The sequence below is a fragment of the Homo sapiens genome, chromosome 10 (assembly GCF_000001405.40).
Source record: "Homo sapiens chromosome 10, GRCh38.p14 Primary Assembly".
NCBI classification, from domain to species: domain Eukaryota; kingdom Metazoa; phylum Chordata; class Mammalia; order Primates; family Hominidae; genus Homo; species Homo sapiens.
Genome location: NC_000010.11, coordinates 119063959 through 119077103, shown reverse-complemented (window position 1 = coordinate 119077103; position 13145 = coordinate 119063959). Strand labels below are relative to the sequence as shown.

Sequence of the window (13145 nt, the reverse complement as noted above, 5' to 3'; positions counted from 1 at the left end):
AGGAGTTGGATACAATAGGTCATTTTAGTGCTGCTGCTGTGATTTTCTTAAAGTATAAATTCCATTAAACGCATTTACTCCCAAGTTTTTTGCTGATAAGAGACTGTTTTTGTTAGTTATGAAGAACGCCTAATGTACTGTTACATTTTCTTTTTTTTTTTTTTTTGAGACAGAGTCTCTCCCTCTATTGCCCAGGCTGGAGTGCAGTGACGCAATCTTGGCTCACTGCAACCTCCGCCTCCTGGGTTCAAGTGATTCTAAAGTCTCAGCCTCCCGAGTATTTGGGATTACAGGCATGCACCACCATGCCTGGCTAATTTTTGTGTTTTTAGTGGAGACAAGGTTTCACCATGTTGCCCAGGCTGATCTGGAACTCCTGACCGCAAGTGATGCCTTGGCCTCCCAGAGGGCTAGGATTATAGGTGTGAGCCAAGGCGCCTGGCTGTACTGTTACATTTTAGAAAATAACCTTACATGCACTATATAGGAGAAGACCAGGAGAAGACTGCAAGTTTTTTCCCTCCCACCCCCACCCCTGACAACAAGGAAAGGCTTATTTCAACAAAATATCTAGTTATATATTACATCTTTGTTTCATTTAGTAAGTTTTTTTTTTGATAGTAAGATGGAGTCAGCGAAAGATGGACTTTTTCATGCAGTGGTGAAGGGTTTTGTCATTATTTGCATGTGAAAAATGTGATTTCATATAAGGTATTGTACAAAGATTTATTTCAGTATGTTTTGTGATTTATCCTGTAGCAAACTTTTTTTTTTTTTTTTTGGAGACTTGTTGCCCAGGCTGGAGTACAGTGGCGCTATCTCGGCTCACCGCAACCTCCGCCTCCTGAATTCAAGTAATTGTCTTGCCTCAGCCTCCCAAGTAGCTAGGATTACGGGCGTGCATCACCATGGCCCAGCTAATTTTTTGTATTTTTAGTAGAGACGAGGTTTCACCGTGTTAGCCAGGATGGTCTCGATCTCCTGACCTCGTGATCCACCCGCCTCCCAAAGTGCTGTGATTATGGCGTGAGCTACTGCGCCCGGCCATTATCAGATAGCTCTTAAAAGAAAAAGTATTGGCTGGGTGCGGTGGCTCACGCCTGTATCCCCAGCACTTTGGGAGGCCGAGGTGGGCAGATCACGAGGTCAGGAGATTGAGACCATCCTGGCTAACACGGTGAAACCCCGCCTCTACTAAAAATACAAAAAAAAAAAAAAAAAAAATTAGCCAGGCGTGGTGGCGAGCTCCGTAGTCCCAGCGACTCAGGAGGCTGAGGCAGGAGAATGACGTGAACCCGGGAGGCGGAGCTTGCAGTGAGCTGAGATTGCACCACTGCACTCCAGCCTGAGTGACAGAGCAAGACTCTGTCCAAAAAAAAAAAAAAAAAAAAAGTCTTTTTCCAAGGAAAATAAACAATGATATTTTTAAAAAGGAGATATATATATATATATGTATATATATAGTGTTTTAAGCTCCCCCCCTTTTTTTTTTTAGTGTAGTGTTTTAGTTCCCCCAAATTATTTTTTAAATGTTCATTGGGAAGTTTGTGTGTGTGTGAAATTTGCAATTAATGAATGTTAAGATGAATTTAACCAGTTGACTTAGGTTAAATAACCTCTTTCTCCCCCAGTCTATTAAGTGTACAAAAGAAAATAAAAGATGAGGAAATTTAAGATAAATTTTAACCTTGGTCAGAAATAATGTAATGGCAAAGGTATTGCTTTTGACTGTATTTCAAAACAAACAATATGCATAAAACTTAAAATTGGAACTGGGTTTTGAAATGTTACCACATAGAATGCCTTCGGGCTCAGGGGATAATAAATTCAAAAGAATATAAGTTGTCTGGGCATGGTGACCCATGCCTGTAATCCCAGCACTTTGGGAGGCCAAGGCGGGTGGATCATGAGGTCAGGAGTTCGAGACCAGCCTGGCCAAGATGGTGATACCCTGTCTGTACTAAACATACAAAAATTAGCCGGGCCCTGTGGTGGGTGCCTGTAATCCCAGCTACTCAGGAGGCTGAGGCAGGAGAATCGGTTGCGGTGAGCTGAGATGACGCCAGTGTACTCCAGCCTGGGCGACACAGCGAGATTCCATGTCAAAAAAAAAAAAAAAGAAAAAAAATAAGTTATTTTGCTTTGTATTCCATTTTTTTCCCTTTTTTTTTTTTTTTTTTTTTTTGAGTTGGAGTTTCGTTCTTGTTGCCCGGGCCGGAGTGCAGTGGCGCCATCTCAGCTGACCGCAACCTCTGCCTCCCAGGTTCATGTAATTCCCCTGCCTCAGCCTCCGCAGGCATGCACCACTACGCCCTGCTAATTTTGTATTTTTAGTAGAGACTTGGTTTCTCCATTTTGGTTAGGCTGGTCTTGAACTCCCAACCTCAAGTGATCTGCCCTCCTCGTCCTCCCAAAGTGTTGGGATTACAGGCATAAGCCACCGCTCCCGGCCCCATTTTTCTATTTTTTTATTTAAAAAAAAAAAGAATTTTTTAGAGCAGTTTGAGATTTCCAGAGTGTTGCAAAGAGAGTGCATAGTTTCATTGACACCACACCCACTTTCTCCCATGTTGATTTTTATTGGTAACAACTAATGAACCAATACCGACACATTATTTATTTTATTTTTTTTTTTTGAGACACGGAATTTCGCTCTTGTCACCCAGGCTGGAGTGCAATGGTGCGATCTCGGCTCACTGCAACCTCCGCCTCCTGGGTTCAAGTGATTCTCCTGCCTCAGCCTCCTCAGTAGCTGGCACTACAGGCACATACCACCACGCCTGGCTAATTTTTGTATTTTTGGTAGGGATGGGTTTCACCGTATTGGCCAGGCTGGTCTCCAGCTCTAGACCTCAAGTGATTGGCCCACCTCGGCCTCTCAAATTGCTAGGATTACAGGCATGAGCCACTGCGCCCGGCCTGGAACTTTTAAATCACAGTGGAATACAGTGATTCAGTTTTACTTGTAGATCATATTTCAACACAGTACAGGTCTTTCTGTTGTTTTACTTTTGATAATTATGGCATAGCTTTAGAAGTCAAAAATAAATGTAACTTGGTAAAAAGTTGGTAATGAGTTGGGGAATTGAAATAGCTGTTTAAAAAGGTAAAGTTTAGACTCTTGTATAGTGTACATAACTAATTTTAATTCTTCTGAATTTTTCAGAATTTCTTGAGGTTGGCAAAAAGCAGCCTGCTCTGGATGTTCTTTATGATGTTATGAAAAGTAAAAAACATAGAACATGGCAAAAGATACACGAACCAATTATGTTGAAATACTTGGAACTTTGCGTGGATCTTCGCAAGAGCCACTTGGCAAAGGAGGGGTTATACCAGTATAAGAACATTTGTCAACAGGTACAAACGGAACTGGGTTGTATATTTTTAACAAGTGTTTTTAGTAATCTGCCGAAGAACTTACCTTTCGAAGTGAATATATTGTATTTCTCTTAAAAATTTGCCTTTAAAACATCTTATGGTTCAATGGAAAAATAAGTTCTGAAGAGTTTTTGTTTTTTTGGATTAGGTGAACATAAAATCTCTGGAGGATGTTGTTAGGGCATATTTGAAAATGGCAGAGGAAAAAACTGAAGCTGCTAAAGAAGAATCTCAGCAGATGGTCTTAGATATAGAGGATCTAGATAATATTCAAACTCCTGAGAGGTATGTGGGTTAGACCTCTAATAAATGCTTTGATAGTTAACTTGGTGTTTTCTTTTACATGGGTCTTCATTTCCTTTTGAAGTAGATGTTTATCAGAAAAAAATGCAAATCTTTGAAGTTTTAAATGCATAGTAACCAGTTAATTTATGTAGGTAATAAAAATTCATAGAAGTGGAAAATGACAGCCTTAAGATAGAGGGGCAAATACCAATTTAAATGAACATAATGCAGATTGGGAATTCAGGGAGTAGATAGTGACACCTTTGCAGTGTGTACATATTGTGGGAAGAATTTGCACTGTTTTCTGATGAACATTGTTTTGGTTTTTAATCACATGGCAAAGTAGGAAACTGTCTAAAATTGTTTTCAACATTTTTTTCTTTGTAGTGTTCTCCTAAGTGCTGTAAGTGGTGAAGACACTCAGGATCGTACTGACAGATTACTTTTAACTCCATGGGTTAAATTCCTGTGGGAGTCTTACAGGCAGTGTTTGGACCTTCTTAGAAACAATTCTAGAGTAGAGCGCCTGTACCATGATATTGCCCAGCAAGGTAAGATGAGAAGATCAAATCTGAGTGAAGTGCTTTGAAATTGACTGAGGAGTAAATTTTCTGAAAAGTACTTAAAATGAACTAGTTTTTATCCTTATTGAAATGTTGGCATTCACATGAGTATTAAATGACTGCGGCCGGATGTGGTGGCTCACACCTGTAATCCCAGCACTTTGGGAGGTCAAGGTGGGTGGATCACTTGAGGTCAGGAGTTCAAGAGCGGCCTGGCCAACATGGTGAAGCCCCTTCTCTACTAAAAATACAAAAAATTTAGCCGGGCGTGGTGGTGTATGCCTGTAATCCCAACTGTTTAGGAGGCTGAGGTGGCAGGATCGCTTGAACCCAGGAGGCGGAGGTTGCAGTGAGCCAGGATGGCACTGTTGCACTCCAGCCTTGGTAACAGCAAGACTCTGTCTCAAAACAAAACAAAACAAAACAAAACAAAACAAAACAAAACCAAAATGACTGAGTAAGGAATTTGTTTTACTCTTTAAAGGAGTTTTGTGTGAATTGTATTTTATTGATATCTGAAAGATCTTTTTTTTTCTTTTTACACAAACATCAGTAATAATGAAAGACATTTTAAAGTTATTTTGGAATTCTCTGTATAACTGAAAAAATAAACTTTTCCATTTTTTTTTTTTTTAGTGAACTTGAGTTCTCTACTTTTTTTTTTTTTTTTAATTTATTTTTAGTTTTTAAAAAAGAGCTGGGATCTTGCATTGTTGCTCAGGCTGGTCTCAGACTTCTGGACTCAAGTGATCCTCTTGCTTCAGCCTCCCAAAGTGCTGGGATTACAGCTCTGCCCAGCCTGAATTTTCACTTTCTTTCTTTTTTTCTTTCTTTTTTTTTTTTTTTTTTTTTTGAGACAGAGTCTTGCTCTGTGGCCCAGGCTGGAGTGCAGTGGCGCAATCTCGGCTCACTACAAGCTCCGCCTCCCAGGTTCACGCCATTCTTCTCCCTCAGTCTTCCCAACAGCTGGGACTACAGGCGCACGCTGCCATGCTCGGCTAATTTTTTGTATTTTTAGTAGAGATGGGGTTTCACCGTGTTAGCCAGGATGGTCTCAATCTCCTGACCTTGTGATCCACCCACCTCGGCCTCCCAAAGTGCTGGGATTACAGGCGTGAGCCATCGCGCCCAGCTGAATTTTCACTTTCATACAAGTAAATTTGGACTTTTTGATAGCTGTTGATACAAATATTAACTTGAAGTTAAACTGCATCTCTGTTTTAGGCCTGTTAAAATAGACATAACTATTTTTAAGGGGAAAGGAAATCTAAAAAATAATCTAATAGTGCATATGTGACGGTAAAAAAATTAACGTGTCCAGTTAAATGACAGAACAAGTAGTTCATCTGTAATCAGTTGAAATTAGGTTACTATAAGCCCTCAATTTGTATTATGTAGTTTTAATTAGTACAGAACCTTGTTTCTTACTATGTAAGTTAGATATCAAAGTTCATTATATTTCATACTAGATTTTTTTACTCCTAGGATTTAAAGTGGTGGGTCTTTGAAAGGTGACCCCTAGATCTAAATTCTAGTTTCCCATTTGTAAACTCTGCCAGCACCACATTTTAGTTGTAAGCAAGGACCAGTGATTATGTCTTTGGTTTTGTTAGGGCTCACTCAAAAAGGTAGTCTGGATGAAATAAGTTGATTCTCATTGCATCACAAAGACTAATGATGAGTTTGGTGAATCCTGTTAAAACAACTGATCTTAATGTGTGAAATAAAACCTATTCAAATATTTAAGTAGATAGTGGAAGGTACCTAATATATTTTACAATTATGCTTATAGCTTTCAAATTCTGCCTCCAATACACGCGTAAGGCTGAATTCCGTAAACTGTGTGACAATTTGAGAATGCACTTATCGCAGATTCAGCGCCACCATAACCAAAGTACGGCAATCAATCTTAATAATCCAGAGAGCCAGTCCATGCATTTGGAAACCAGACTTGTTCAGCTGGACAGTGCTATCAGCATGGAATTGTGGCAGGTATGTTGGAGCTATTAGCTTTTCTTCCTAGAAATAATAGTCTGTGTTACTTTTCTCCCCCCTTAATGAATAGCTTCATCTTGGTATGCATTGGTTAATTTCAATAAGGTAAGGAATTAAAGTTGCCTAATGGACTGGGAAAAGTTCTGAACAAGAAATCTCAGAATATTTTGTTTCTAGTTGCCTTCTATGAATTCTGGACCAAACCATATAATCTCTTTCAGACCCAGTTTCTTGACATATAAAACAATACATTGCCAGTGCTGCTCGAAGTGTGGTTTCATGACTGGTGTCATCTGTAAACTATCTGGTCTGTGATGAAATAAGTATAGAGTAGAAAAGCATATGCAAAGTTTCTTAGTAGCAATTTTATTGTACATTTTGTGTGTTTTTACTCTGATAAAAAGTGAGCTTTTTCTGTTTCATTTTTGTGGTAATTTTGTATTTTATATTCTTCGGTAAGAGGTCAGAAATTTAAAACAAACCGAATCCTTTACTACTGATTGTTTGGAGAAGTGCTGCTGTAGATTATTCTAGATTTCTTAGTGGTGCTTTAGCTGCCTGTCTTGCATTGGAGATCTTGATGGTGTTAGGAAGCTAGTCCTCTCCCTGGCCCTTTTTCTCTAAGAATCCTACAAAGACGTTCCATATAATTTTGTAGTCATGTGACCTTGAAGTCTTTTGTATATTTGACGGACAATATTTGATTGAAATTATAGAGGAAGAAACTAAAAATTGGGAGTCTTTGAGCCAAGTGAAAGTGTGATTTGATGTCTTGTTCTTGCCCATGTTTCCTTTTCTATAGGGACACCCATCTTAAAATACTACCTGTAGAAGATAAGTAAACATGCCCATTATAGAAAAAAATCCATAAGTTAAAAGAAGAGAAATATTCATCCATTATCTTATCACTCAGAAATAACCTGTTGTATATCCTTCTAGATTTTTTCTTTATATTGCCCGAAGTGATGGGATAATATGCAAATATTTTCTTGAGTCTGCTCTGTCTACTTCCCATTATTTCCTAAAGAACTTTAAAACGTTTAAGGAGTTAGTGTTTTTGTAATTATGGCAGTTTTCTAAAATAGATATACATGAGTAAAGAGAACCACACAAAGGTATTTTATTTGCTATTTTTATGTTTTCTGTGTTGTAGGTTTCATAGAAATTTGAATTAGATTTTTTTCGTGTTATAGAATGCAATGACTTTAATTTATACTCCTAATTTTAGGAAGCATTCAAAGCTGTGGAAGATATTCACGGGCTATTCTCCTTGTCTAAAAAACCACCTAAACCTCAGTTGATGGCAAATTACTATAACAAAGTCTCAACTGTGTTTTGGAAATCTGGAAATGCTCTTTTTCATGCATCTACACTCCATCGTCTTTACCATCTCTCTAGAGAAATGAGAAAGAATCTCACACAAGATGAGATGCAAAGGTAAAAATGTTATACTTGGATAATGTTGAAATTCTGTAACAAATATCGTCTATTATATGACATGGTATATTTTAGGCCATGGTTTCTCAGCCTCTGCACTACTGACATTTTGGGTTGGATAATTCTTAGTCATGGGGCTGTCTTGTGTACTGCAGGTGGTTTAGCAGTTTAGCAGCATCCTCAGCTTCTACCCATTAGATGCCAGTAGCAACCACCGCCAGTTGTGACTATTAAGACGTCTCAAGACATTGCCCTTCCTGAACAGTATTCTTGGACTTTAGTAGTTGGTCTTGAACTCCTCACCTCAGGTGATAAGTAACTCCGCTAAAAGCCCAATTGAGAAATTTGAATATTAGGAAAAACACATTTAACGGATGAGCTTTCTATCCACATAGAGGTGGAGTCTATTCTCAGAACAAATAGAAAATTAAGAAAAATACTTTTTTTTCCTTTTCTTTTTTTTTTTTTTTTTTTGCAAGACAGAGTCTTTTGTTGCCCAGGCTGGAGTGCAGTGGCACGATATTGGCTCACTGCATCCTCTGCCTGCTGGGTTCAAGCGATTCTCCTGGCTCAGTCTCTGGAGTAGCTGGGATTACAGGCACCCACCACCATGCCCGGCTAATTTTTGCATTTTTAGTAGAGACAGAGTTTTACCATATTGGCCAGGCTGGTCTCCACTCCTCACCTCATGATCCACCTGCCTCTGCCTCCCAAAGTGCTGGGATTACAGGAGTGAGCCACCGCGCCTGACTTGTATTTTATTTTATTTTATTTTTTCTTGAGACAGAGCCTTCGCTCTTATCGCCCAGGCTGGAGTGCAATGATGCGATCTCACTCCGCCTCCTGGGTTCAAACAATTCTCCTGCCTCAGCTTCCTGAGTAGCTGGGATTACAGGTGTGCACCACCATGCCTGGCTAATTTTTTGTATTTTTGGTAGAGATGGGGTTTCATGATGTTGGCCAGGCTGTCCTCGAACTCCTGTCCTCAGATGATCCTCCTGGTTCGGCCTCCCAAAGTGCTGGGATTACAGGTGTGAGCCACCACGCCTGGCAGGGTAAATACTTCTATCAAGTCATTTTTTCCTGATTGCAAAATATTAAGTGTAGAATATTTGGGTCATGTTTATTCTCATATAAATACATATGAATATAAAAGGAAGGGTCTATAACCCAACAACCTATAGACCAATTTTTTCCCTGTGCTCCACACGTTCAGAGAAACTTCTCTAGCAACAAACTATAGAAATGAGCCCCGAAGGCATAGTCTTCCATTTTATTATTTTTAACGTTACGTATAACCTGTTTTCTGTCACTTAAAAAAAAAATACATTTCTGGCCTGGCGCAGTGACTCATGTCTGTAATCCCAGCAGTTTCGGGAGGCCAAGGTGGGTGGATCACTTAGGGTTAGGAGTTCAAGACCAGCCTGGCCAACATGGCAAAACCCCGTCTCTACTAAAAATACAAAAATCAGCTGGGTGTGGTGGTGCACGCCTGTAATCCCAGCTACTCGGGAGGCTGAGGCCGGAGAATGGCTTGAACCTGGGAGGCGTAGCTTGTGGTGAGCTGAGATTGTGCCACTGCACTCCAGCCTGGACGATAGAGCAAGACTCCATCTCAAAAAAAAAAAATGCTATTGGACTTAGGCAACACACATACCACCTGTTTTCTTGTATTGGTCCACCAATTATTTTGTTATCCAGTAGAATTATGTAAAGCAAATTGTCTTTCTTATGTAAAACTATTTTAGAGCAATTCATGGGACCAATTAAATGAGTCCCACTAGTATATTTTCTTTCTTTCTCTTCTTTGTTCTCTATGTCTTTGCTTTCTGATACGGTCTTTCTTTCCTTTCTCATAGGGTCTTGCTTCCTTGCTCCAGATGGAGTGTAGTAGTGTGTTGTAGCTCACTGCATGCATCCTTGAACTCCTGGGCTCAGACTATTCTTCCACCTCAGCCTTCTGAGTAGCAGAGACTACAGGCGAGCGCGACCACGTCCAGCTAATGTTTAATTTTTTTTGTGGAGGCAGGGTCTCGTTATGTTGCCCAGGCTGGTCTCAAAGCTTCTGGTCTCAAGTGATCTACCTGCCTCAGGCTCCGAGTGTGTTGGGATTTATAGGCATGAGCCACTGTGCTTGGCCACTAGCATATTTTCTTAGAAACTCTTGAGGATGGTGTCCGTTATGGCATCCACTGTCACTTATGTAATTCACATCCTTTTTTTTTTTTTGAGACAGAATTTTGCTCTTGTTGCCCAAGCTGGAGTGCAATGGCGCAGTCTTGGCTCGCTGCAACCTCTGCCTCCCGGGTTCGAGCGCTTCTCCTGCCTCAGCCTCCCAAGTAGCTGGGATTACAGGCGTGCGCCACCACGCCTGGCTAATTTTTTTTGTATTTTTAGTAGAAACGGGGTTTCACCATGTTAGCCAGGCTGGTCTTGAACTCCTGACCTCAGGTGATCCACCTGCCTCGGCCTCCCAAAGTGTTGGGATTACAGGCATGAGCCACTGCGCCTGGTCCACATCTGTTTGTTTTAAGGAAAAACATGTTCTTCCAGACACATAAGCTTGCCTTCAGAGAGTACTACAATAATAGTGAGCATTAGGCTGTCTAGCTCTTAGTACATTATTTGGTTTAATCTTTGCAGTAGCCTTATGACTCAGAAAATTAAGTATCTTGCCTACGGTCACAGTCTTGGAAATGGCGAAGGGGAGATGCTAGCCCTTCAGCTCCAGGGCTCGCAGTCTTTGGGGTCCTGCCATGCTCTGAATGCAGCCTGACTTCTTGTCTTTCAGGGATGTGAAAATTTAGCTCCTGGTTCTTGTCTCCCCCTCTCCCTCACTACCATAATAGTGTTCACTTCTGATTCTTAAAATTTTTTTCTGCCTTATTGCCACTTACTTCCTTAGGTTTTTTTTTTTTTTTTTTTTTTTTTTTTTTTTTTGACAGTCTTAACTCTGCCCCCCAGGCTGGAGTCCAGTGGCATAATCTTGGCTCACTGCACCCTCCGCCTCCTGGGTTCAACTGATTCTCCTGCCTCAGCTTCCTGAGTAGCTGGGATTACAGGCGCCTGTCACCATGTCTGGCTAATTTTTGCATTTTTAGTAGAGATGGGGTTTCACCATGTTGTCCAGGCTGGTCTGGAACTCGTGACCTCAGGTGATCCGTCTGCTTCGGCCTCCCAAAGTGCTGGGATTACAGGCGTGAGCCACTGCGCCTAGCCATTTCCTTAGTTTTTAAACCTGCCTTAATTTTGTAAGGAAGTCTGGGGTATATGAATGTGTGTTTTCTGTCATTTAATCACAATCTTTTTCTTTCTTTTTTTTTCTTTTTTGAGACAGAGTCTGGCTCTGTCGCCCAGGCTGGAGTGCAGTGGCGCGATCTTGGCTCACTGCAAGCTCCGCCTCCCGGGTTCATGCGATTCTCCTGCCTCAGCCTCCTGAGTAGCTGGGACTACAGGCGCCCACCACTACGCCTGGCTAATTTTTTGTATTTTTAGTAGAGATGGGGTTTCACCGTGTTAGCCAGGATGGTCTCGATCTCTTGACGTCGTGATGTGCCCCCCTTGGCCTCCCAAAGTGCTGGGATTACAGGCGTGAGCCACCGCGCCTGGTCAATCACAATCTTTTTCTGAAGCTAGAAAACACTGACAGTACTGAGTGGATAGATGAAGTCCTGATTCTCCAAGTATTCGTTTAAACACAGCCCATTTCTCTTACTCCCATGCTTTGATGGAATAATATTTATGAGTATAGTGCACCATGGTGATGTACACGTTCTGTCACTAGCACGCCTTACCGTAAGATTAAAGAGAAGTGCTTTTCTGCTTACCAAGTATCATTTACAAACCTAACAGATTTAAAACTTTGTTCTCCATAGAATGTCTACTAGAGTCCTTTTAGCCACTCTTTCCATCCCTATTACTCCTGAGCGTACGGATATTGCTCGACTTCTGGATATGGATGGCATTATAGTTGAAAAACAGCGTCGCCTTGCAACACTACTAGGTCTTCAAGCCCCACCGACACGAATTGGCCTTATTAATGATATGGTTAGTATTAATTTGAGGATTTTTGTAGCTTTGGGCAGAAAACTTTGTGGTCAGGTTTAATAACTCATGATTAAATACTGGGAATTCTGATTCAGTGCCAAGGGTTCTGATGTATGGACAGGGAAGCACTGGTGTCAATCACTGTTCACTTGAGGCAGTTCCGCGCCAGTGGGTGAGCAGGGGTTAAATTGGTGGGAGTTTTGATCTAGCAGGACTTGGGTTGGCTCTGGGGAATACCGTGGGCCAGTTAGTAAGAGAAGAAGTAATGATGGGCAAGAAGAGTCATGGCTTATTTCATGGAGGCTCTAGGAAAACTAATTAAGCTGTGTGTGGTAAATATGAAGAGGCTAGGTGTATTAGTATGTTCTCGCACTGCTATATATACCCGAGGATGGGTGTGGTGGCTCACGTCTGTAATCCCAGCACTTTGGGAGGCTGAGGTAGGTGGATCACCTGAGGTCAGGAATTCAAGACCAGCCTGGCAAACATGGCGAAACCCGGTCTCTCCTAAAAATAACAAAAAATTAGCTGGGCATAGTGGCACACACCTGTAATCCCAGCTACGCAGGAGGCTGAGTCAGGAGAATCGCTGGAACCCGGGAGGCGGAGGTTGCAGTGAGCTGAGATCGTGCCGCTGCACTCCAGCCTGGGCGACAGAGTGAGACTCCTTTTCAAACAAACAAACAAAAAAGAAGTACCTGACACTGGGTAATTTATAAAGAAAAGAGGTTTAATTGGCTCATGGTTCCACAGGCTGTATAGGAAGTATAGTGGCTTCTGCATCTGGGGAGACCTCAGGAAAATTACCATCATGGTGGAAGGGGAACGGGAAGCAGGTATGGCTTATACGGCTGGAGCAGGAGGAAGACAGAGGGGGAAGGTACCACACACTTTTAAACAACACCAGATCTTGGGAGAACTCTTATCATGAGGATGGGCCTACGGGGATGGTGCTAAATCATTAGAAATTGCCCCCATGATTTAGTCACCTCCCACCAGGCCACACTCCAACACTGGAGATTACAGTTGAACATGAGATTTGGGTGGGTACACAGATCCAAACCACATCACTAGGGGAGAAGGTAAGGTAGACTTACCTTCAGTGTCTGATGTTCAATGTCTGAAGAACTAAAATATTTTCAACTTTTTTCTCTTTTAAACTTTCATTTGATGTTACTAAATAGTATGGACTTAATTAGGGTTATTCAGTGAAATTGTATGTGAAATACTTTTTAAAATGCAGATTTCTAGGTTTTACCCAGCAGATATAATACAAAAGTTTTAGAGTGTGGAGCCTAAGACGTGTTGTTGTTGTTTTTTGAGACAGGGTCTAGCTCTGTTGCTCAGGCTGGAGTGCAGTGGTGCGATTTCAGTTCACTGTAACCCCCACCTCCCAGGTTCAAGTGATTCTCCTACCTCAGCCTCCCAAGTAGCTGGAAT

General features: G+C 41.3%; 1 protein-coding gene across 1 annotated transcript in view, besides 1 other annotated feature; it reads left to right on the top strand.

Annotated features, from left to right (window-relative positions):
* Positions 1-13145, top strand: part of EIF3A (eukaryotic translation initiation factor 3 subunit A) — a 47148-nt gene that overhangs the window by 3714 nt on the left and 30289 nt on the right. Inside the window, exons 2-7 of the mRNA NM_003750.4 lie at positions 3167-3357; positions 3527-3663; positions 4051-4214; positions 6019-6218; positions 7450-7658; positions 11534-11705. Of these exons, the coding sequence (NP_003741.1) occupies positions 3167-3357; positions 3527-3663; positions 4051-4214; positions 6019-6218; positions 7450-7658; positions 11534-11705 (1073 nt within the window). The remainder of the gene's footprint in view (positions 1-3166; positions 3358-3526; positions 3664-4050; positions 4215-6018; positions 6219-7449; positions 7659-11533; positions 11706-13145) is intronic.
* Positions 9998-10499: an enhancer, noted in NCBI's record as "H3K4me1 hESC enhancer chr10:120826117-120826618 (GRCh37/hg19 assembly coordinates)". NCBI's record gives its function as "activates a minimal SCP1, AML or CMV promoter by ChIP-STARR-seq in primed H9 embryonic stem cells {active_cell/tissue: H9 hESC(primed)}" and the evidence as "EXISTENCE:reporter gene assay evidence [ECO:0000049][PMID:30033119]".